Source organism: Homo sapiens, chromosome 16 (genome assembly GCF_000001405.40).
Source record: "Homo sapiens chromosome 16, GRCh38.p14 Primary Assembly".
In the NCBI taxonomy this organism is placed as follows: Eukaryota; Metazoa; Chordata; class Mammalia; order Primates; family Hominidae; genus Homo; species Homo sapiens.
This window is the reverse complement of record NC_000016.10, coordinates 77,718,692-77,742,557: the sequence shown is the minus strand read 5'-3', so window position 1 is coordinate 77,742,557 and position 23,866 is coordinate 77,718,692. Positions and strand designations below refer to the sequence as shown.

The following is a 23,866-nucleotide window of genomic DNA, read 5'->3' as shown; positions in this document are numbered from 1 at the left end:
ATCTCTACTAAAAATACAAAAATTAGCCAGGTGTAGTGGCAGGCGCCTGTAATCCCAGTTACTTGGGAGTCTGAGGCAGGAGAATCGCTTAACCCAGGAGGTGGAGGTTGCAGTGAGCTGAGCCAAGATTGTGCCACCGCACTCCAGCCTGGGTGACAGAGCAAGAGTCTCTCTCCAAAAAAAAAAAAATTATATATATATATTATAAATATATGTGTGTGTGTGTGTGTATATGTGTGTGTATATTATATATGTGTATATATATTGCCTACTGCAAATAAGGTAAATGCCACATGGTTATATATTCAAAAAATCTTTATTAAGGGCCTAGTATGTGCCAGATATTCTTTATTATATGTGTAAGAAAAATATTATTAACATATTGTGGGTGAAAATATGCAACACTATGAACATAGTTTTCATTTTTGAATGGCTTTTACTTTTTCAGACAATAGAAGGCAACTGGAAAAGAGGCAAGGATTCTAACTACATACTGCAGAAAAAATATTCACACCTGTCAAATTCCAACAGCTGGCATTGTTGTTGTTCTACGAATAAGCACACACAGAATCCTCGTGAATAGTTCTTTGTCTCTTGCTCTAGTAAATCATAACCTGCTTGTAGCTTTTTTATGAACCTTCAGGAATAACTCTTCAGAGGATGCTAATACATCATTAAGATTAAATTGAACCTCAAAGGTGGGTTTTTTTTCCAAAATGATAAAGGCCACCAACACTGCAAGGTTTGCCGTCATTCCCTTGATCTGGTAAGTGACACCGTCTTCAGGGTTTGTGTACTCAAAGATATGATTAATAAAACGGTGACCAAGACGTGTGACGTAATGCTGGTCATGGACCTGTGGATGCAGGAAATAGGCCAGAGGCACCAGGAATACATCCTTAACTTCAGCAGGATTCGGCTGGGCCTGGAAGTTGTGGTCTATTAAACCCACAAATGGAGTTATCAATGTATCTGTCTAAAAGCAGAAAACAAAACAGACAAATTAAGAAGTGAAGTGATACTGCTTCAAATCCTAAAATCATGCCACTTCTAGGTGAGCTAAGAAAATACACCGAACCTGGGAGAAGGGGAAGAAAGCTTATTCCGGAAACAAATTTATGTTCCCCCTAAAATGGGAGTCATCCTGCTCTACCTGAGGTGACATCTATGAGATGACTCTGAAAATGATTTCTTGTATGAACATAAAGTAGTACAATCTTTTGGAATGGCAATTTGGCAGTATCATAAAAATGTGTTCGCTTTGACCTGGGAATTGCATTTGTGTATCTGTATGATAAATTCCTACCAGTAAGAAAAGACACAAGTATAAACCTGAAGAATTAGTTTCAACAACAGCCCCAAATTCTAAAGTTATCACTCTTCACTTTATAGGCATTTAGGTTATATAAATTAGGGTTATATCCATAAAAGAGGATACTATGTAGCCTTTAAAAACAATGGGATAGACATCTTTCCTTCTCAGTAAAGAAAAAAATGTGCTATACTTATGAACAGAAAAGTAAAGTGATATAATACTAGTTATGACATATTCCCATTTATGGAAAAATTTCATAGTACATACACATATATATATAATTATGTGTCTTATATATAACTATATGTGAACTACTTTATATAACACACATGTATATATTACATGGGAGAGGGATTTCTATTTACAACCACAACTGCTTGCAAATGAACATGAGTGGCCGGGTGTGGTGGCTCACGCCTGTAATCCCAGCACTTTGGGAGGCTGAGGTGGGCGGACCACCTGAGGTCAGGAGTTTGAGACCAGCCTAGCCAACATGATGAAATCCCGTCTCTACTAAAAATACACAAATTAGCCGGGTGTGGTGGTGCGTGCCTGTAATCCCAGCTACTCAGGAGGCTGAGGCAGGAGAATTGCTTGAACTTGGGAGGCGGAGATAGATTGCAGTGAGCCGAGATCATGCCACTGCACTCCAGCCTGGGTGACAGAGAGAGGCCCAGTCTCAAAAATAAAAATAAATATATAAAAGTAAAAAAGCAAATGAACATGAGTGTTGTCAAATGAAAGACTGTTTTGTTATACTGGAAACCCTGAGAGGGAGGCCTGGGGCTGAGTGAGGATGTGGGAACTGGTAAGAGCTGCCTGCCTTTGTATTAGAAAGTGAGAAGAACTGGAATTCCTGGAGCATCCCAAGAGGAAGTGGGTGGAAAAAGCCAGAGAGGTAGACACATGGTGAGGCTGGGACCTATCCGGCCTGCAGAATGTTCTGAGGGACAGCCAAAGACAGGAAACCAAATTTAGGAACAGAGACAACTCAGACCATTAACCAAAATAATAGTGAAAGTCAACATTTGGACCAGGAGGAGACAAGAGGAACATAGACTTCGTATGTCCTTGGGGCAGGAAATTTGGGGTCATTAAGTTACCCGAGGGCAGAGGCAACATTCTACCAGCACGTAACACCACACCTGGCATTGGGGAAATGCTTAGTCTCTGAATATGGAGTTTTCCAGGTGGACTCTGAGATAAGGACTCAGATGCAAGTGATTTTTTAAGAAAGTGCTCCCAGGGGAAACAGTTAAGGGGAAGAGGGGAGCAATACTCATAAGGGAAGAAGGCTGGCAAGGGCACCATGGGGTGTTCTGGAGGGTAAATTAATATGCAGTTTGTCCCACATGGAGACAAGGGAGCTGGGATTTCATGCTCCCCAGCCCCAGTCAGTCACTGGTTAAGGACTACCTTGCCAGAGGTGAATTCACAGGCACTCCCAGCTCTCTGTGCAGGACACATGGCAAGGTGGCTCCAGTATCAAGGGTACCAGTATTCAGAAGAAAGCTGCCAAGTGTTGTCAGAGGCGTTTGAACCAGAGCAACTCCATCTTGAATAGGGGCTGGGTAAGATAAGGCTTGGAGCTACTGGGCTGCATTCCCAGGAGGTTAGGGCATGCTTAGTCACCAGATGAGACTGAGATACAAGTCATAAAGACCTTACAGTAAAGAAGGCCATCAAAACGCACCAAAACCAAGATGGCAATGAAAGTAACCTCTGGTCATCCTCACTGCTCATTATACGATAATTAGAAAGCATTAGAATGTTAAAAGATACTCCCACTAGTGCCATGACAGATTACAAATGCCACGGCAATGTCAGGAAGTTACCCTACATGGTCTAAAAATGGGAGGAACTCTCACCTCTGGGAATTGCCCATCCCTTTCCTGGAAAACTCATGAATAACCCACCCCTTGTTTAGCATATGATCAAGAAATAACCATAAAAATGGCCAACCAGCAGCACATGCTGTTGCTCTGTTATGGAATAGCCATTCTTTTTTTTCTTTACTTCTCTAATAAACTTGCTTTCACTTTATGGACTCACCCTGTGAGATCCTAGAACCCTCTCTTAGGGTCTGGATCAGGCCCCCTATCTGGTAACAGTGAGTTATCAGAAGCCCTGGGGTTGTAAGAGGAATATGAAGGGGCCTGGACAGAGCCCCAACAATGTATGCTCAGTAAATATTCGTGGTTGCTGCTACCATTGGTGACCACAACTTACGGGCACCTAGTCTAGTTCCCAGCACCCTCTGATTCCTTACAACAATCTGATCGCGAAGAAGCCTTAACAACTACAATTAGAGACGTGAAGAAACTTGCCCAAGGGCATATTCTGCTGATACTTGGCAGAAACTGGATTCGACCACAGATGTGTTGCTCATACTCCTGGGTATATTTCAGAGACCTTTGCAAAAAGTAGTACATAAATGTCTGACAAAAGGGAAAACTGGGGTGGGGGTTGTGGTGTCACAGCCTGCCTGGAAGGCTTATGTAGCGGGTACATACATAGGTGCATACATACATAGGTAGCTACTCTGGAGGCTGAGGCAGGAGAATTGCTTGAACTTGGGAGGTGGAGGTTGCAGTGAGCTGAGATCACTGGGACTCGAGATCACTTGAGAAAAGCCAATAGCACCCTTCCACTCCCAGCTATGATCTCCAGACATTACCAAATTCCCCAGGGTTGAAAAATCACTCCAGGTTAAGAGCCACGTAGATTAGATTATGCTTATAATTTTCAATAAATGGCATTTTTGTGATACATTTTAAAAATTAGCAGGGGCCAAAAAACAAAGCAACCCTCCCTTGCACTTCCAAACAAAGCAGACTTTTTAAAGCCTTTGTTTAATCTCTCAATCACGCCATTTTAGAAATCTCCTGTTCCAGGAGTATCTGGCCCCCAGGAATCTCCCAGAGACACTTTCCTGTTAATGCTCCTGAATTCTATCCACCCACATGCAGAACTCAGTAGCACCTGGGGACCTTGGGAACAGAGTTAGTCTCATTTTGGAAACTTTTAATCAGTATAGCTAAATTAGTTAATTGATTTCTAAAGTAAATCCTCCAAATGCTGGTGGATTTGCGGAAATCAACTGTAAAGAGTTCCCATTAGAAAACCAAATGGAAAAGTAATTGACACATTTCGTGTGTAATCCCATGTCTCCATCTCGCTTTCATACACACACACTTAGAAAACATTTATTGAGTGGCCACTAGCTTTTTGCAAACAAAACCACCCTTGGGTACTGACCTTTCTATTTTTAAAAAGGACCCAATTAAGACAGACATTGTCTCAGCATCACTGATCTTCAAAACACTGCCCCACCAAGACTTCAGTCAAGTGGAACATAAAGGATCATCTAACCCACTGGTTTTCTAAGTGTTAGGCAACAGTGGGACTGTTCTTTTGAAATAAAAACTTACCCGAAAGCCCAATATATAAAACATTAAGGCTGGGTGTGGTGGCTCACGTCTATAGTCCGAGCACTTTGGGAGGCTGAGGCAGGCGGATCATGAGGTCAGGAGATCGAGACCATCCTGACTAACACGGTGAAACCCCGTCTCTACTAAAAATACAAAAAATTAGCCGGGCGCGGTGATGGGCGCCTGTAGTCCCAGCTACTGGGGAGGCTGAGGCAGGAGAATGGCGTGAACCCGGGAGGCGGAGCTTGCAGTGAGCCGAGTTTGCACCACTGCACTCCAGCCCGGGCGACAGAGCGAGACTTGTGTCAAAAAAACAACAACAACAACAAAAAAAAAACCATGAAAAGTTTATACCTACCTCTGATACTGTGTGATGAGAGCACTTCACCTCTGTGGTGTTCCCAAATTATGACCCCAGCTTAACGATGAGAAAAATATCAGACAAACCAAAATTGGGGAACATTCTATAAAATACCTGACCACTACATCTCCAAACTGTCAGGGTCATGAGAAGAAGAAAGTCTGATAAACTATCACAGACCAGAGGACTAAGGAGACATGACCACAAAATACAATATGGTATCTTAGATGAGATCCAGGACAGAAAGGACATTAGTAGAAAAACTAGTAAAAAGCAAACAGAGCATGGAGTTCAGTTAACAGTAACATGCTGACACTGGTTTCTTTGTTGTGACAAATGTACACAGTGATGTAAGATGTCAACCACAGGGGAAACTAGGTCTATGGTCTAATTTCCTATAGTCTAGTTTCCTATGGTCTAGTTTCCTATGGTCTAGTTTCCTATGGTTTCCATGTGGTCATATGGAAACTAGGTCTACATAAGAACTCTCTGTACTACCTTCACGACTTTTCCATCAGCCTACAGCTATTCTGAAATTAAAATTAAAGGTTTTATTAAAACATTTATATGGTAAAATCATGCTGTTATCCAAGATCATACTTCTTAATACAATATTTACCCCTTCTAAAGTCAGTTAGTAAAACAATGAGGTTGTTGTGGTGAACCGATAGAAAGTAAGATCAGAAGCTGAGCACAGTGGTTCACACCTGTAATCCCAGCACTTTGGGAGGCTGAGGTGGGAGGATCACTTGAGGCCAGGAGCTCGAGACCAGCCTCATCAACATAGCGAGACCCCCATCTCTATAAAAAAAAAAATAAAAAAGAAAATAAGATGTGGTTATCTCAGCTCCAAAATTCATTTTTAAAAATATTTTAAATGTTTTGATGTATATTATACTATCAAGGAAATCCTGATCCAACACAAATGCAGTTATGAATAGTAATAGTTTTTAAATAGCTTGCCTAGTGATTTCACGGTTCTATTCAATTAATGTATCACAGAGAGGCTTTATTCTATAGTATGTAGAAAAATGAATATCCTTACGGCAGAAGTAATGCATTGGTGGTCTCCAAGGGGCTAAAATTTGGTATCTAGCACATTGGAGTGTCTGTTCTTTTTTCAACTGAACTCTCAAAACCAATGTATACTGGAGAAAAATAAATGTGAACTGAATGTTAATAATTCTGAAGCATCTCTCTAGGGTTCTATGGCATCCAGTTTGAAATCCACTGATGGGAGTTCAACCCTTTTATTTCTGGATGGGGAAAGAGGGGTCCGGAGAGGCAAAAGGGGTTGCCCATAGCCACTTGACTCATGAGGGGCAATGTCTGTAGGAGAACCTGTTCTCTTGACTTTATGTACAGTACTCTTTGGGGTTATGTTTGGAAAATGTGGAATCCTGAGAACAGTAGATCCACCTGGGGGTGGGGACGGTGCTCATGAGTGTCTCAGGAAACCCTTACATCAATAAGACATGGCACCAGGCAGCAGACAACTTCCACTTGGTGAGGACGGAGACCCACTTCCTCCTGGGCTTCCCGGAGAGCTGTGGCTGCATCATCCATGTCTGTAGGGTCACGCTTACCTCCAGGGAAGCAAACTTCTCCAGGGGCCCTTCTTAGCTGGATATAGAAAGAACAGCGCTACAATGTGGGATTCTAATTTTGGAACTATTTATGCATTCAACAAATACTTACTGGACTTCTATTTTGTACCAGAGACCATTCTTACCCAGGTGGTGGTATCAAGACCCCTATTGCCCACAAATGTGTTTTCTTGAATCCTTTTTAAGAAATGAACCTTGAAAATTTTTCTCACTGCTAACTTTTATTCTATTTGTCCCCAAAAGATACCACACACTGTATTAATCTGTTCTTGCACTGCTATAAATAAATAACTGAGACTGGGTAGTTTATAAAGAAAAGAGGTTTGGTTGGCTCACAGTCTCGCAGGCCGTACAGGGAGCATGATGCTGGCGTCTGCTTGGCTTCTGGGGAGACCTCAGGAAACTTACAATCATGGCGGAAGGTAAAGGAGGAGCAAGCACTTCACATGGCTGGAGCGGGAGACAGAGAGAGGGAGGGGAGGTGCTACACACTTTTAAACAACCTTATCTCGTGAGAACTCACTCACTATTGTGATGACAGTACCAAGGGGGAAATCCGCCCACGTGATCAAATCACCTCCCACCAGGCCCCAGGTCCAATATTGGGGTTTACGACTGAACATGAGATTTGGGTGGGGACAGGATCCAAACCATATCACACACACACAGATTGACACTGCTAGGGGGAAAAAGCTGAAAGAATAATGTAAGGGGCAATATTATCAACAGATAATTTTGTTGAGTCCTTTAATGGCTGCTTATTATGTTCTGGGCATGTTGTTTCATAAAGATTTTTCCCACTGGGTCCTCAGAACAGTCCTATAAGCTACTAATTTTTGAACGAGGTGAAATTCACATAAAAGTAACCATTTTAAAGTGAAAAAAAGCAGAGACGTTTAATACATTTACTGTGTTGTACAATCATCCCTACTATCTCATTCCAGAATATTTTCATCATCCCAGAAGGAAACCCCATACAACAGTTGATTCTCATTCCCCTCTCCCTCTGTCCCTGCTTTCTGTCTCTGTGGATTTACCTAGTCTCGACTTTTGTGTCTGGCATTTTTCCCTTCACATATGTTTTTGAGGTTCTTCATGTTCTACGTGTATTGGTACTTCCTTTTTTATGGCTGAATAGTATTCTATTGTGTGTATAGATCACAGTTTGTTTATCCACTCATGCATTGATGGGCAGGTAAGCTACTCTTTTCTTTTCTTTTTTGACATGGAGTCCCGCTCTGTGTCCCACGCTGGAGTGCAGTGTGCGAACTCGGCTCACTGCAAGCCTTGCCTCCTGGGTTCACACCATTCTCCTGCCTCAGCTTCCTGAGTAGCTGGGACTACAGGTGCCCACCAGCATGCCCGGCTAATTTTTTGTATTTTTAGTAGAGACGGGGTTTCACCATGTTAGCCAGACTGGTCTCGATCTTCTGACCTCGTGATCTGCCCTCCTCGGCCTCCCAAAGTGCTGGCATTACAGGCGTGAGCCACCGCACCCAGCCATAAGCTACTCTTATACTATTATTATTTCCATTTTCAGACAAAGGAACTTAGGCTCACAGAGGTTAAATAACCTGACCAAGTTCACTCAGTGAGCTGGAATATAAACCAGTGTTTAATTTACGAGCCTGTGTTTTTAATCAGTACAACACACATTTATCAAAAGTTTAGTAAGACACAAAAAATATAGGCCCTGGAGCTATTAGCATTGTGTTGGCATCTATGTTTATCTTTGCGTGTGTTGGTAAAGGAAAAGAGGTCTCCTCTTTCCCCGCATTGCCCCCTTCCTTGATTCCATTCCTTCCTGCCTTTAGGAGAACTGACAGTGTCTCTATAGCATCCTAAAATTACCCCCTTTCTTATCTCTGTCTTTAAAATTATTTCTCTCATATCTTGGGCAGAAGTGGAGAGGCACAAACCCTCCACTGTTCTCTCTTCTGCAGGGCCAAATATCTCAGCAGAGTGACCTCAATTTCTTTTATGCCCACTTGTGCCTAGTACCCACTATCCTTTCTCTCCTGAATTGTCAAGGAGCCCTCAGGCTCAGCAAGAGTCCTGGGTCTGCCTCTTTCCAACTGTGTGCAATGGGGTAATGACAGTGTGCTCCTCACAGAGCTGTGAAGATTGTTCCATGAGGATGGAGCGGATGCACGGGAATGGTGCGTGGCCACATTAAATATTTAATAATGAGAACTTGTAAGGTCAGTCCTGGACATTGAGAAGCTCAATCAAGAGATCATGTTGCCATTTTTAGCACCTAGGCCATATATCTATGTAAGGATAAACTAGATGCCTGCAATGGCCTGAATGTTTATTCTCCCATGAATCCATATGTTGAAATCCTTACCCCTAAGGTGATGGTATTAGGAGGTGGGATCTTTGGGAGGTGTTTAGGTCATGGGGGCAGAGCCCTCATCAATGAGATGAATGCCCTTATAAAAGAGACCAGAGACAGACTCTTTGCCCCTTTCCCTGTAAGGACACTGAAAGGATGACTATCTATGAACTGAAACAGGGCCCTCACCAGACTCCAAATCTTCTGGCAGCTTGATCTTGGACTTCCCAGCCTCCAGAACTGTGAGAATTAGTATCTGTTGTTTATAAGCCACCCAGTCTAAGGTGTTTTGTTATAGCAGCTTGAGAGGACTATGACAATGCCATGATAAACTTTTTGATATTTTATAGGCTTCAGCCTCATTTGGGCAAGACTTAAAAATTTTTTTTTAAGTCCTTCTGTGCTGATAAATCAGGAACACTGCAGAAATTGCTGCCATAGCTAAATCCTTAGACATCTTCACATCAATTACAGTTGTAAAAACAGGTGAAAAGAAGGCTGATGGACATATTTCTACTGTCTTGAACACTCACCAGCGACTGCAAATATGTCTTACCAAATGCGTAAGAAATACACCTAATGTTACAGCAACTCTGAAACAGTGCTTTATTGTTAGAACGTTCAACTCCAAGGCAGCCAGGGACAAACGCACCTCCAAGCAGTCATCAGGCTTGACAGAAACAGACCTGATATGATGCCTGTTTTAAATGTACAGTCACGTGTTACTCAACAACAGGGACACGTTCTGAAAAATGCATTAGGCGATTTCATCATCGTGTAAACAACACAGGGTGCACTTGCACAAACCTGGATAATATAGACTACTATAAACCTAGGCTATATGGTGTAGCTACTGCTTCTGGGTTACAACCTGTATACCATTTTACTGTCCTGGATATTGCAGGCAATAGTAACATAATGGTAAGTATTTGTGCATCTAAACACGGAAAAGGTACAGTAAAAATATGGTATAAAAGATCAAAAATGGTTCACCAGTATGGGGCATTTACCATAAATGGAGCTTGCAGGACTGAAAGCTGCTCTGTGTGAGTCAGTGAATGAGTGGGTGGTGAGTGGATGTGAAGGCTTAGGACATTAAACACTGCTCTAGACTTCATAAATACTAGACACTTAGGCTATAGTATGTTTATAAAAATATTTTTCTTTTTCTTTTTTTTTTTTGAGACGTGTTCTCGTCTGTCGACCAGGCTGGAGTGCAGTGATGGGATCTCAGCTCACTGCAGCCTCTGACTCCTGAGTTCAAGTGATTCTCCTGCCTCAGCCTCCCAAGTAACTGGAATTACAGGCACCCGCCAGCATGCCTGGCTAATTTTTGTATTTTTAGTAGAGATGAGGTTTGGCCATGTTGGCCAGGCTGGTCTCGAACTCCTGACCTCAGATGGTTCCCTCCACCTTGGCCTCCCAAAGTGCTGGGATTACAGGTATAAGCCACCACCCCCCGGCCTTTTTCTTTTTTAAATAATAAATTAACTGTAGCTTACTATTACTTCTTACTTTCTAAACTTTTTAATTTTTAATTTTTTGACTCTTTTGTAATAACACTTAGCTTAAAACACAAATACATTACACAGCTATACAAAATATTTTCATTATATCCTTATTCTAGAAGCTTTTTTCTATTTTTAAGGATTTTTTTTTCTTTTTAAACTTTCTTGCTAAAAACTAAGATACAACACACAGAATAATCAATATCACTGTCTTCTACCTCTACCTCTTGTCCCACTGGAAGGTCTTCAGGGGCAACAATAACATACATGGAGCTCTCATCTCCTACAATAACAATGCCTGTGTTTTTTGGAATATCTCCTGAAGGACCTTACTAAGGCTGCTTTATAGTTATTTTTAAAAAATAAGTAGAAGAAGAACACTCTAAAATAATGATTTAAAAGAATAGTGTAGTAAATTTCATAAACCAGAAATGTCATTTTTTATCATTATCAAGTATTATATATTGTGCATAATTGTATGTGCTACACTTTTAGACCACTGGCAACACAGTAGGTTTGTTTACACCAGCATCACCACAAACATGTGAGTAATGTCTTGTGCTATGACATTATGACTGCTATGATGTCAGTTGGTGATAGGAATTTTCAGCTCCATTATCATCTTTTGGGGCCACCATTGTATATATGGTCCATGGTCCATCATTGATGGAAAAACAGTTTTGCAGCACATGACTGTATTTTGAAAGGTTTCAAAAGTATCTCATAGCATACCAATTTTATTCAATTTGCCTTGTACACCTATTCCAATTAATAGGTAATAGGAATTGGAAAAGATCATTTTGGATTAGTGAGAACATTGCTCTCAAGAAAATGTTATCCTTGAGCTGGGCAATGATTTTTAAAATATGACCCCAAAAGCACAGGCAATGAAAGCAAAAATAAAACATGGGGTTACTTCAACTAAAAAGCTTTTGCACAGCTAAGGAAACACTCAACAGAATGAAAAGACAATCTGTGGAATGGGAGAAAATATTTGCAAACCATACATCTGAAAAGGGGCTAGTATCCAAAATATATAAGGAACTCAACTCAATATCAATAATAAAAAAAAATTTAAAAATGGACAAAGGAACTAAATAGACATTTCTCAAAAGGTATATGAAAAAAATGCTTAACATCACTAATCACCAGGAAAATTCAAATTAAAACCACAGAGAGACATTACGTCACACCTTTTAGAATGGCCATTATCTAAAAAACAAAACGTAAGTGTTGTTGAGGATATGGAAAAAAGGGAACTATCACACACTCTTGGTGGGAATGTAAATTAGTACAATCATTGTGGAAAACAGAATGGAGGTTTCTCAAAAAATTAAAAACAGAATTGCCATATGATCCAGCAATCCCACTACTGGTTATATATCCAAAGGAAATGAAATCAGTATATCGAAGAGGTCTCTGCACACCCATGTTTACTGCAGCATTGTTCACAATGGCCAAGACATGGAATCAACCTGAGTATCCATCAACAAGTGAATGAAGAAAATGTATATACAGAGAGGAATATTATTCAGTCATAAAAAAGAAGGAAATCCTGTCATTTGTGACAACATGGATGAACCTGGAGGAAATTATGTTAGGTAAAATAAGCCAGTCACAGATGCCACATGATCTCATTCATATGTGGAATATTAAAAAGTCAGTCTCAGAGAAGTAGAGAGTAGAATGGTGGTTACTAGCTGCTGAGGTGGTTTGGGGGGAGGTTGGGGAGATGTTGGTCAAAAGATAAAAAGTTTCAGCCAGTCAGGAGGAATAAATTCGAGAGATGTATTGTATACTATGGTAACTATAGTTAACATACTGTATTCTTGAAAATTGCTGAATGGATATAAAGTGTTCTTAGTGCAAAGATGATGACTATGTGAGATAGTATGTTATGTGTGGTGACATGTTACCATATGAGGTATGTGTGTTAATATGTTACTATGTGAGGTAATGTGTGTGGTGATATGTTACCATATGAGGTAGTATATGTGTTAATATGTTACTATGTGAGGTAATGTGTGTGGTAATATGTTACTATGTGAGTTAGTACATTGATTAGCTAGATTTAGTCATTCCATAGTGAATATATACTTCAAAACATCATGTTGTACAGGATAAATCTATACAATTTTATCTGTTGATTTAAAATTTATTTATTTATTTATTTATTGAGATAGAGTCTCGCTCTGTTGCCCAGGCTGGAGTGCAGTGGGATAATCTCGGTTCACTGCAACCTCTGCCTTCTAGGTTCAAGCGATTCTCCTGCCTCAGCCTCGCGAGTAGCTGGAACTACAGGTGTGCACCACCACACCCAGCTAATTTTGCATTTTTAGTAGAGATGGGGTTTCACCATGTTGGCCAGGCTGGTCTCAAACTCCTGACCTCAGGTGATCCCCACACCTTGGCCTCTCAAAATGCTGGGATTACAGGTGTGAGCCATGCCTGGCCTAAATTTTTTTTTAAAGAAAATATGCTATTTTGAAGAAAATATGTATGATGACATGTTACTATATGATGTATATGGTGATATGTTACTATGTGAGGTAATATGTATAGTAATATGTTACTATGTGAGGTATTGTGTGTGGTGATATGTTACTATGTGAAGTAGTATGTTACTATGATGTGAGGTAGTAAATTAATTAGCTAGATTTAGTCATTCCACAGTGAATATATACTTCAAAGCATCATATTGTACAGGATAAATCTCTACAAGTTAAATCTATTTAAATCTAAAAAGATAAATCTATTTAATTTTGTTTTTAAAAAAGAAAATATTACGCTGTTTTGAAGAAAACAGGCACATTTCTAAAACTGACTAATCAAAAACTATTAGCACTGCAAAGGGCTCTAAGCACAAAAGCGGTCAGTTATTTTTTTGATAAATAGTATACATTTCTTATTCAATAAAACCTTCTGAAATGCTACTCAGAGGCCAAGTAAAGCTGCAGCCTAATTTCCTAAGACTTCAATCTTTGCTTTGTTCCTGAATTTTCTCTTGCCTACTTCCAGTCCCAGAGAATGGGGTGCAGGGAGGAGGGTGGAGGAGGGTAGAAGAGGGGACAGAGGAGGGATGCGAGGTCAAGGGTGTGGGGGAGAAGAGCAGGACCGATAATGCAGAGCAGCTAATTCCTGAAAACTATAAAGTGGGTGGCTTTGAAGGCCTGAAGGGCTGTGCCCAGGTGTGCAATGGAGAAAGGGGTTTGCCAGCTCTTTGCTGGGCACCAGGGATCTAGGGTTCTGAGAGGAGTCCCTTATCCAAGGTGGACCCGGACAAGGAGATAACGAAAACATAGGTAGCATCCAACAGCATGCAGCACTATGGCATGCCAGCAGCCGTGCTGGGCGTTTTACAGATCTCTTTCAGGCTCAGAACAACCTTGCACATGAGGCGCTGTTTTCAGGCCCATTTTAGGGATGAGAAAACCGAGGTGATTAAGAGATTTACGAACTTTGCAGGCTGGGCGTGGTGGCACACGCTTGTCATCTCAGCACTTTGGGAGGCCAAGATGGGCAGATCACCTGAGATCAGGAGGTCAAGATCAGCCTGGCCAACCAACATGGTGAAACTCCCTCTCTACTAAAAATACAAAAATTAGCCAGGCGTGGTGGCGTGCACCTGTAATCCCAGCTAATTGGGAGGCTGAGGTGGGAGAATTGCTTGAACCCAAGAGGCGGAGGTTGCAGTGAGCTGAGATCACGCCACTGCACTCCAGCCTGGGCGACAGAGCGAGAATCCTTCTGAAAAAAAAGAAAAACTTGTTCGAGGTTCCAGAGCTAGTGGGAGATTGCACATTTGAGAAGGGTTAACCCACTTCTTGCCTTGCTTTCCCCATCCACTGGGGGGAAATCTCCTACCAGCGCCCTGCTTGTGTGAGGGGCAGAGCTCCAGTAGAGCTCCAGAGGGAATTTCTCACCCCTACAGCCAGATAGTGTTTACAATCAGATTGAATTAAATTTAAATAGTTTTTAAAAAGTGACCTTAATAATCAACAGGCAAAAGTGGCTCTGGGTGAAACAAAAGAAACTAGAGACCCCGTTGGTTGAGTTTGTAGTATTGTCTAGATTTCCTATATTATTGTTTGTTAGACAATTCTCTTTTATTTATTTATTTATTTTTATTTATTTATTCATTATTGAGATGGAGTCTTGCTCTGTTGCCCAGGCTGGAGTGCAGTGGCACGATCTCGGCTCAATGCAACCTCCACCTCCCAGGTTCAAGTGATTCTCCCTGCCTCAGCCTCCCCAGTAGCTGGGATTACAGGCACCCACCACCACGCCTGGCTAATTTTTTGTATTTTTAGTAGAGACAGGGTTTCGCCATGTTGGCCAGACTGGTCTCGAACTCCTGACCTCAGGTGATCCGCCCACCTCAGCCTCCCAAAGTGCTGGGATTACAGGCGTGAGCCACCGCACACGGCCATATCTGATAATTTTAAAAAATATATGTAAGTGCTTCTCCTGTGCTTATTGGCAGAGGTGGGAACAGACACTGGTCCCCTGGTTTCCATTTAAGTATTTCCCCCTGGAACCTGGATTTCTATCATGTCCTGAGTTCACGGCATTTCTGCCTGGCTCAGACCGAACACAATCCACACAAGTCTACTTCCACGTCCACAAAACTCCAGCTGATTCCTTGGCATTTTTTTTTTAAACAAAATACTTTTCATTATTCTGCTTAAAAAGCCTGTTAATATGGCTTATTTTCTTTTTGTACTTGGATAAGCTTAAAATGACTGCTTCACCAGCTTTTCCTTGGAAGTTCCCCACAGCAAGGGAAACTGACTGTGCTCACGGGTGTGGGGGTGGTAGAGTTTCGATATTTGTCCTTGCCCAAATCTCATGTTGAACTGGAGTCCCCAGTGTTGGAGGTGGGGTCTGGTTGGAGGTGACTGGATCACAGGGGCAGATTTCTCACGCATGGTTTAGCACCATCATCTTGGCACTGTCCCCATGATAGTGAGTGAGTTCTCATGAGATCCGGGGCCATTTAAAAGTGTGTGGTATTTCCCTGCTCTCTCTCTTGCTCCTGCTCCCCCTCTGCCATGATGGTACACTCCCTGAGGCCTTTCCAGAAACTGAGCAGATGCCTGTGTCATGCTTCCTGTACAGCCTGCAGAACCATGACTCAATGAAACCTCTTTTCTTTATAAATTACCCAGACTCAGATATTTCTTTTTCTTTCTTTCTTTCTTTTTTTGAGATGGAGTCTCGCTGTTCCTCAGGCTGGAGCGCAGTGGCACAATCTCGGCTCACTGCAACCTCCGCCTCCTGGTTTCAAGTGTTTCTCCTGCCTCAGCCTCCTGAGTAGCTGGGATTACAGGTGTGTGCCACCATGCCTGGCTAATTCTTTTGTATTTTTAGTAGAGATGGGGTTTCACTATGTTGGTCAGGCTTGTCTCGAACTGCTGACCTCGTGATCCTCCCACCTTGGCCTCTCAAAGTGCTGGGATTACATGCTTGAGCCACCATACCCAGCCTCAGGTATTTCGTTATAGCAATGCAAGAATGGACCAATACAAGGGGTGAGCCAGAAACTCCATTCCCAGCCCATTATTTCTGTAAAGTGACATCATTTATCTTAAAACTTCAGGTCATGTCTGACAGGTCACTTGACACTAACGATGACAGCTAAAACTTACTGAATTCTTCCTTGCCAAGTACCTGGGTTATATAGGTGCTTTACATTTGTTACCCTGTGAAATGTTCATAGCAGCTGTATGAAGCAGTTACTAATATTTTGTCCTCATTTTACAAGTGAAAAGACTGAAGTACAGAGAGGGCAAGTAACGAGGCCAAAGTCACAGCTGGCAAGGAGAGAGCCTGGATTCAACGTGGACAGCTAGCTTTAGAGCCTAGGCCGTTAACTTCTATGCTCTAGTATTTTCACATTATACTGGGGGTGGGATAGTCTAAAACAGTGGCCCTTGGTGGGGGGCAATTTGGCACCCCCAATCCTGCCAGGATAGTAGGCAATTCTGAAGACATTTGTGGTGTGTGTGCTACTGGCATACTGGACAAAGGGACAAAGGTGTGTGTGAGCTTGTGTTTGTGTGTGCTACTGGCATCTGGTGGGTAGAGGCCAAGGATGATGGTAAACACACCACATTATACAGGACAGCCTCCACACCAAAGAATTATTCAGCCCCAAATGCCAATAGCACCAAGGTTAGGTAACCCTAGTGTGAAAGCGTTTTAAACTGCTTGCTAGCTAAATTCCTTCATTTTCTTGTTAAACCTTCTCCAAGAAACACCATGTTATCCTGTGGCTTGTGGTTGTATGCCTCTGACATCACAATTTTGAAAGCCCTTTTGAGAATTTTGGCATCAAAGTGTGTGCAAGTGACAAAATCTCGTGAGGTCTTCTGATGTCCTGAGGTTTAAGGGCAGGAAATTTTTTGTCCACCTACCTTCTCTGACCGGACGGTGAACAACAAATGGAGTTTTCCTTCTTTAGCCACCAATGGCAAAAGGACGGAGTATTTGTTATATGGCAAGTGAGAATATTTGCCTCCAATATCATACTTTCTTAAGCGGGCCTTAGCATCATCTAGCAAACTGTTTCTAAAATAAAAACAAACCAGACAGACATTTTAGCAAGCAGAGTTATGGTAAAAAGCTTATAGTCCTGCCTCTGTTTCTGCTTTGTTGTGTATTTAGGAGTTTGCCATTTCTGACTCTCTGTGTATTTTTCAATAACACGACAGAAATGATACTATCTAAATTGCGTGGTTGTTCGCAAGATGAAAATGACAAAAAAACCTTCTAAGCACACAGTTTAGTACACAGGTTCTCTTTGAAACATAAAGTATGGTAAAATGTTTTTTCAATAATGCAACAGTTGAATTTTGAAACCCATAATTATATTCAGAGAAGACAGGTTTGATGAAAAAGTCATTGTTAAGGTTAGAAGGTTAGAAGACTACCTTCTGTTAAGCTGGCCCTTATGTTCTCAAACTCTTATGTCTTCAACTGCTTATAATAGTGGTTCCCAAGCTTTAGCAGCAACAGAATCACCTGGAGCGCTGGCTGTCACATAGACTGCGAGGTTCAGTCCCAGACTGTGACTCAGTAACTCTGGTGTAGGGCCTGAGAATTAGCATTTGTATCAAACTCCCTCATGACAGCGTTACTGACGCTGTGGACAGGGGAACACATTCTGAGAACAATTTCCCAATAATATGCAAGCATTTGGATTTAAAACCGCAAATGGTGCCCTTCCTATGTGGACTTGTTTTGGTCCTTTTGACAGGTGTGTTCTACTGCTAGTTTGTATAGTGGGTTGAACAGTATCCCCTCACCCCTGAAATTCATGTCTACCCCAAACTTCAGAGTGTGACTTTATTCAGAAATAGGATCTTTTCAGATGTAATTAAAGTGAGCTCTAAATCCAATGACTGTTGTCCTGATAAGAAGCAGAAACGAGCCCAGTGCAGCGGCTCACGCCTGTAATCCCAACACTGGGAGGTTGAGGCGGGAGAATTGCTTGGGCCCAGGAGTTTGAAACCAGCCTGGTCAACATGGTAAGACCCTGTCTCTACAAAAGAAAAAAAAAAAAAGCATAAATTAGCTTAGGCATGGGGCATGCAACTGTATTCCCAGCTACTTGGAAGGCGGAAGTGGGAGGATCACTTGAGCCCCAGAGTTCAAGGCTGCAGTGAGCCATGATTGCACCACTGCACTCCGGCCTGGGTGACAGAGTGAGACCTGACTCAAAAATAAAATAAAATAAAAGAAGAAAAAACATGGAGAGATGCACACAGGGAAGAAGACCATGTGAAGATGGCGGCAGAGGTTGAAGTGATGCTGCTGTGAGCCAAGGAATGCCAGAAACCACCAGAAACTGGAAGAGGCAAGGAAAGGTCACCCCCAGAGCCTTCTAAGGGAGTGAGGCCCTGCCGATACCTTGATTTTGGACTTCCAGGCTTCATAGCCATGAGAGACCATTTCTATTGTTTTAAAACACCCAGTGTGTGGTACTCTGTTATGGCAGCCCTAGAAAAGGAACAGCTGATTTTACTTTTTCTGTGGGAAGGCAGCTTTGCATAGTGGGCAGAATCAGCTATTTAAGATACCCAGAATTGGCTTCAAATGTATATAGGAGGCCTGGTACAGTGGCTCATGCCTGTAATCCCGGCACTTTGGGAGACTGAGGAAGGTGAATCACTTGAAGTCAGGAGTTCGAGACCAGCCTGGCCAACATGGTAAAACCCCACCTCTACTAAACATACAAAAATTAGCCGGGCATCGTGGCACATGCCTGTAATCCCAGCTACTCAGAAGGTTGAGGCAGGAGAATCGCTTGAACCCAGGAGGCAGAGGCTGCAGTGAGCCGAGATTGCCTACTGCACTGTAGCCAGGGCGGCAGAGTGAGACTCTGTCTCAAAAAAAAAAAAAAAAAAGTGTATACAAATGACTTCTCTGAGTTTCATCTTCATTTGTGTCAGGCTTGAGGATATTTAAGAAGATTAAATGATGCAGTTCATATACTGTGGCTGGCACACAGCTGGTGCTCAGGGAATGGTAACCACTGTCATAAATCTCCCCATCATTAGATAAGCAGTTGTTTGCAGGAGGTATTTGCTATTTTTTGCCTCTTTCTAGGTGGCAGGGTGCTCACCAGATGTGGTTGGGTAACGGCAGTGTATTTCAAAGACCAAATGGCCTGAAAAAAATCAGTGAATGCTGGCACAGGGATTGCACAGTGCATCTGGATGCACGCAGGCCAGCCTCCAGAAAAGGAAACTGTGGGCTGGTGGCTTTTAACCACCCGGAAACCACAGAACTGACCAGACAAACCAGCCAAAGTAAAAGGCTGCAAAAACGTTATCTGTCCACTTTAGGGGCTGGCCGCTGGAATAATCACCAAGGTATCAACAGCAGTAGCAGCCACCCCGTTCTGAGCATGGTCTCAATTTTGACGTTTCTCATTTTATCCTCACAACAGCCCGGCAAGTGATCACAGGGTCACCTCCAGGCTCAGAGAGTTTACGAAACTGACAGACCCAAGGTCACAACTGAAAGTAGCCACCGGGGGACTTGAATCCGGGGCTGCCTGCTGCGGGTCTGTGCCACTGTCGGGGGTCCTGGGGTCCAACTCTGGAGACGCGGATTGCAGAACAGCCAAGCCGGCTGGGAAGGGGAGCAGCGTGTATGTAAACCATACTGGCTTAAGCCGGCTCTGTTCCTGGCCAGAGCAGTGCAAAGGTTCGGGGACCCTGCGGGTTGCTGGAGGCGAGTGCTCCCCCATCCGGCGCTCGCAGGTGGACTGGCGGGAGCTGCAAAATCAGTCCCGGCCAAAAGGCCCCGGTGGCCTCCGCTACGATCAAGGCCGGGCCTGACCAAGCTCGGGGTGCCAGGGCCCGGAAAGCCTTTACCTGACTGGCTCCTCGGGAAGACCAAGTCGTGACATTGCCCTGGGGAATGTTTGTTTCCGGGCGGACTCCTCGGAGCTGCTCGGTCGGTCGCGCTTGCGCAGAGCAGCTCTGGGCTTGGGAGCGGCCTAAAGCCAGAGAGAGGGGCGGGGCTTAGAGCACGAGGCGGGGTGGTGTCTGGGGCGGAGACAGGGGGCGGGGCGGTGCGAGATCTGGGATCGGAGGCCGGGATCGGGGCGGGGCGGGGCTTATAGCCAGAGGCGGGACTTGAGGTGGGGAGAGGCGCGGGGCGGGACTTAGGGCCGGGTGTTCCTGGTTGCTCAAAGCAGTTTCTGCCGGGCTCCTTGGGCTTCTATGGAAGCAAGAGGTATAGGAGGAGTTGTGGAATTTAGAGCTGGAAGAGTTAAAAAAAAAAAAAATACAGTGTTGGTGAGGTGATAATATTTTACACTCGCATTCGCTGTTGCTGGAAGGTTAAGGTGATTCATTCAACTTTTTGGAACTGCTGTCAGCACCTGTTCACCGACCACCTGTATGCACTGGGTGCAGATCCCACAGCTAGCGAAAAGACACGTGGAGCTCACAGTCAAATGGTAGAAACATAAATTAATCACACAGGGCTGGATGCAGTGGCATATGCTTGTAATTCCAACACTTTGGGAGGCCAAGAGGGGAGGATCACTTGAATCCAGGAGTTCGAGCCCAGCCTGGGCAACATGGCGAAACCCCATCTCTACAAAATAAAAATAAAAAATTAGCCAGGCGTGGTGGCACACACCTGTGGTCCCAGCTACTCAAGAGGCTGAGGTGGGAGGATCGCTTGAGCCCAGGAGGTCGAAGCTGCAGTGAGCCGTGATAGCACCACTGCACTCCAGCCTGACAGAGGTAGACCGTCTCAAAAATAAGAAGAAGAAGATAAGAAGTTTTTAATGCAAAAAAAAAAAAAAAAAAAAATCACACTGATAAAGCAGTGGCCTTTGGTCCTTCTAGAGCGTGTGAAGGAGAAATGTGACCCAATTAGGAGACAGAAGAGGCTTGGTAGAGGAAATAGAAGTGCAGCTCATCTTGAAAGCAGTAGTTCTCAAAGTGTGGTCCTCAGACCAGCAGAATCAGGATCACTTTGGTCCTGTTAAAAATGTGGACTCTGGGCCAGGCGCTGTGGCTCACACCTGTAATCCCAGCACTTTGGGAGGCCAAGTCGGGTGGATCACCTAAGGTCAGGAGTTTGAGACCAGCTTGGCCAACATGGTGAAACCCCATCTCTACTAAAAAAACAAAAATTAGCCAGTGGCAGGCGCCTGTAATCTCAGCTACTAGGAGGCTGAGGCAGGAGAATCGCTTGAACCTGGGAGGCGGAGTTTGCAGTGGGCCGAGATCGCGCCATTGCACTCCAGCCTGGGCAAAAAAAAGCGAAACTCTGTCTCAAAAACAAAACAAAACAAAACAACAACAACAACAACAACAAAAACCAAGAAAGAAAGAAAGGAAAGAAAGAAAAGAGAAAAGAAAAGAAAAGAAAAAAGACGAAAAGAAAAGAAAAGAAAAGAAAAGGTGGACTTTGGGGCCCATGTCACAACTGCTGAATCAGAAGCCAGGTGTCAGGCCCAGTGATCTGTGCTGTAAGGGGATTCTGATGCTCTGTGCGGGATAGAGGACATAAATGAGGAAAAAGGCAAGGGAGAGTGTTCAAGGAAGAGGGCAAAGTTTGTGCAAAGACAGCAGAAAGGGGCTGGAGAACAGTGTGTGTGAGGGAGCCTGGTGCGAGCTGAGAATCCAGGGGTCAGTGTAGGGCTGACTTCTCCCTTACAGGCACAGGACACACACAGTAATTTTAGGGACCTGTGAAAATGTTTTAATTGTAATTTCTTTTTAAATTAGAAGAAGAAAAGGTATGTAATAAAAGCAATATATAATAATGAATCCAGCTTGGATGATAGTCATTTTATGAATTCAGTCATAAAATATTCACTTTAAAATTATTTTATGGAAGAAGGGGTGCACAAAAACAAAGTAGCTAGGGCCCATGAAAGTAATATTGTGGCTGGCCCTAGGTCAGTGGGGCAGTTTGTGAAATTATTAATGAAATGAAATATTAATGAAATATCGCTGTGATATTTACAACATCCAGTGTTTACACACCGTGACATCAATGAAATATCGATGTGATATTTATAATATCCAGTGTTTACACACTGTGATATTAATAAAATATGGCTGATATTTGTAATATACAATGTTTACACACCGTGATATTAATATAATATCGCTGTGATATTTATAATACCCAGTGTTTCCACACTGTGATATCAATGAAATGTCTCTGTGATATTTGTAATATCAAGTGTTGATGCACCATAACATCAATGAAATATCACAGATATTTACAACATCCAGTGTTTACACACCATGACCTCAATGAAATATCAATATGATATTTATAATATCCAGTGTGTACACACCGTGATATTAATAAAATATGGCTGTGATATTTGTAATATACAGTGTTTACACACCGTGATATTAAGCAAACATCGCTGTGATATTTATAGTATCCAGTGTTTACACATCGTGATATAAATGAAATATCGCTGTGATGTTTATAATATCCAAGGTTTACAAACTGTGATACCGATGAAACATCGCTGTGATATTTATAATACCCGATGTTTACACAAAGTGTTTACACACTATGATGTTAAATATCGTTGTGATTTTTATAATATCCCGTGTGAAATTAATGAAATATCACTGTGACACTCATAATATCCAGTGTTTACACAGTGCTTACACGCTGTTACGTTAATGAAATATCACTGTGATATTCATAATATCCAGTATTTACACACAGTGCTTACGCACTGTGACATTAACGAAATATCGCTGTGATATTCATAATATCCAGTGTTTCCACACAGTGCTTACACACTGCGATATTAATAAAATATCGCTATGATATTCATAATATCCAGTGTTTGCACACAGTGCTTACACACTGTGACATTAATGAAATATCGCTGTGATTTTCATAATATCCATTGTTTACACACAGTGTTTGCACACCGTGATATTAATGAAATGTTGTGATATTTCTAATATCCAGTGTTCACACATAGTGTTTACACGCCATGATATTAATGAAATATCGATGCAATATTTATAATATCTAGTGTTTACACATCATGATATTAAGGAAATATCGGTGTTATATTTATAATATCCAGTGTTTACACACCGTGATACTAATGAAATATCGCTGTGATATTCATAATATCCAGTGTTTACACACAGTGCTTACACACTGTGACATCACTGAAATATTGCTGTGATATTTACGATATCCTGTGTTTACACACTCTGATATTAGTGAAATATCACTGTGATATTGACAACATCCAGAGTTTATACACTGTGATATCAGTGAAATATCGCTGTGATATTTACAATATCCAGTGTTTACACACTGTAATATCAGTGAAATATTGCTGTGATATTTACAGTATCAAGTTTACACACTGTGATACCAGCAAAATATTGCTCTGATATTTACAATATCCTGTGATTACACACTGGTTACACACTGTGATATCGGCGAAATATCACTGTGATATTTACAATTTCCAGTGGTTACACACTGTGATATTGGCAAAACATCGCTGTGATATTTCCAATATCCACTAGTAACACGTTGTGATATTGGTGAAACATCACTGTGATATTTACAATACCCAGTGGTTACACACTGTGATATCAGCGAAATATCGCTGTGATATTTATAATATCCAGTGTTTACACACAGGGCTTACATGCTGTGATATTAAAGAAATATCGCTCTAATATTTATAATATCCGGTGGTTACACACTGTGATACTAGTGAAATATCACCCTGATAATTATCATCTCCAGTGGTTACACACTGTAATACTGGTGA

The 23,866-nt window shown here is 42.3% G+C and overlaps 1 protein-coding gene across 4 annotated transcripts, besides 2 other annotated features; it reads right to left on the bottom strand.

Moving 5' to 3' along the window:
- Nucleotides 298–20,044, bottom strand: NUDT7 (nudix hydrolase 7). Of its 4 annotated transcripts, NM_001243657.2 has the most exons (5): nucleotides 19,941–20,044; nucleotides 16,974–17,127; nucleotides 6,572–6,730; nucleotides 5,815–5,908; nucleotides 298–976 (listed from the first exon to the last, which is right to left on the bottom strand). In NM_001243657.2, the coding sequence occupies exons 1-5, from the start codon at nucleotides 19,973–19,975 to the stop codon at nucleotides 906–908; spliced, it is 513 nt and encodes a 170-aa protein (NP_001230586.1). In that variant the 5' UTR covers nucleotides 19,976–20,044; the 3' UTR covers nucleotides 298–905. The 4 variants fall into 4 exon arrangements, with proteins under 4 accessions (NP_001230586.1, NP_001230589.1, NP_001099133.1 ...); NM_001243660.2 differs by lacking the exons at nucleotides 5,815–5,908; nucleotides 6,572–6,730 and adding an exon at nucleotides 7,051–7,164; NM_001105663.3 differs by lacking the exon at nucleotides 5,815–5,908.
- Nucleotides 19,912–20,206: an enhancer, noted in NCBI's record as "tiled region #41; HepG2 Activating DNase unmatched - State 1:Tss, and K562 Activating DNase unmatched - State 1:Tss". NCBI's record gives its function as "activates a minimal TATA promoter and a strong SV40 promoter by Sharpr-MPRA in HepG2 and K562 cells {active_cell/tissue: HepG2 | K562}" and the evidence as "EXISTENCE:reporter gene assay evidence [ECO:0000049][PMID:27701403]".
- Nucleotides 20,069–20,198: a silencer, noted in NCBI's record as "silent region_7734". NCBI's record gives its function as "represses an Ori minimal core promoter by ATAC-STARR-seq in GM12878 lymphoblastoid cells {active_cell/tissue: GM12878}" and the evidence as "EXISTENCE:reporter gene assay evidence [ECO:0000049][PMID:35858748]".

What these genes read in the sequence shown, in the direction of transcription:
- NUDT7 (NM_001105663.3), bottom strand. Translation starts at nt 19,975, where the DNA reads ATGTCACGACTTGGTCTTCCCGAGGAGCCAGTCAG. An exon ending in TCACCGTCCGGTCAGAGAAG is followed by an intron (nt 6,731 to 16,973) that starts GTAGGTGGACAA and finishes TTCTATATCCAG; the next exon opens with CTAAGAAGGGCCCCTGGAGA. An exon ending in TGGTGCCATGTCTTATTGAT is followed by an intron (nt 977 to 6,571) that starts GTAAGGGTTTCC and finishes TTCTGCTTTTAG; the next exon opens with ACAGATACATTGATAACTCC.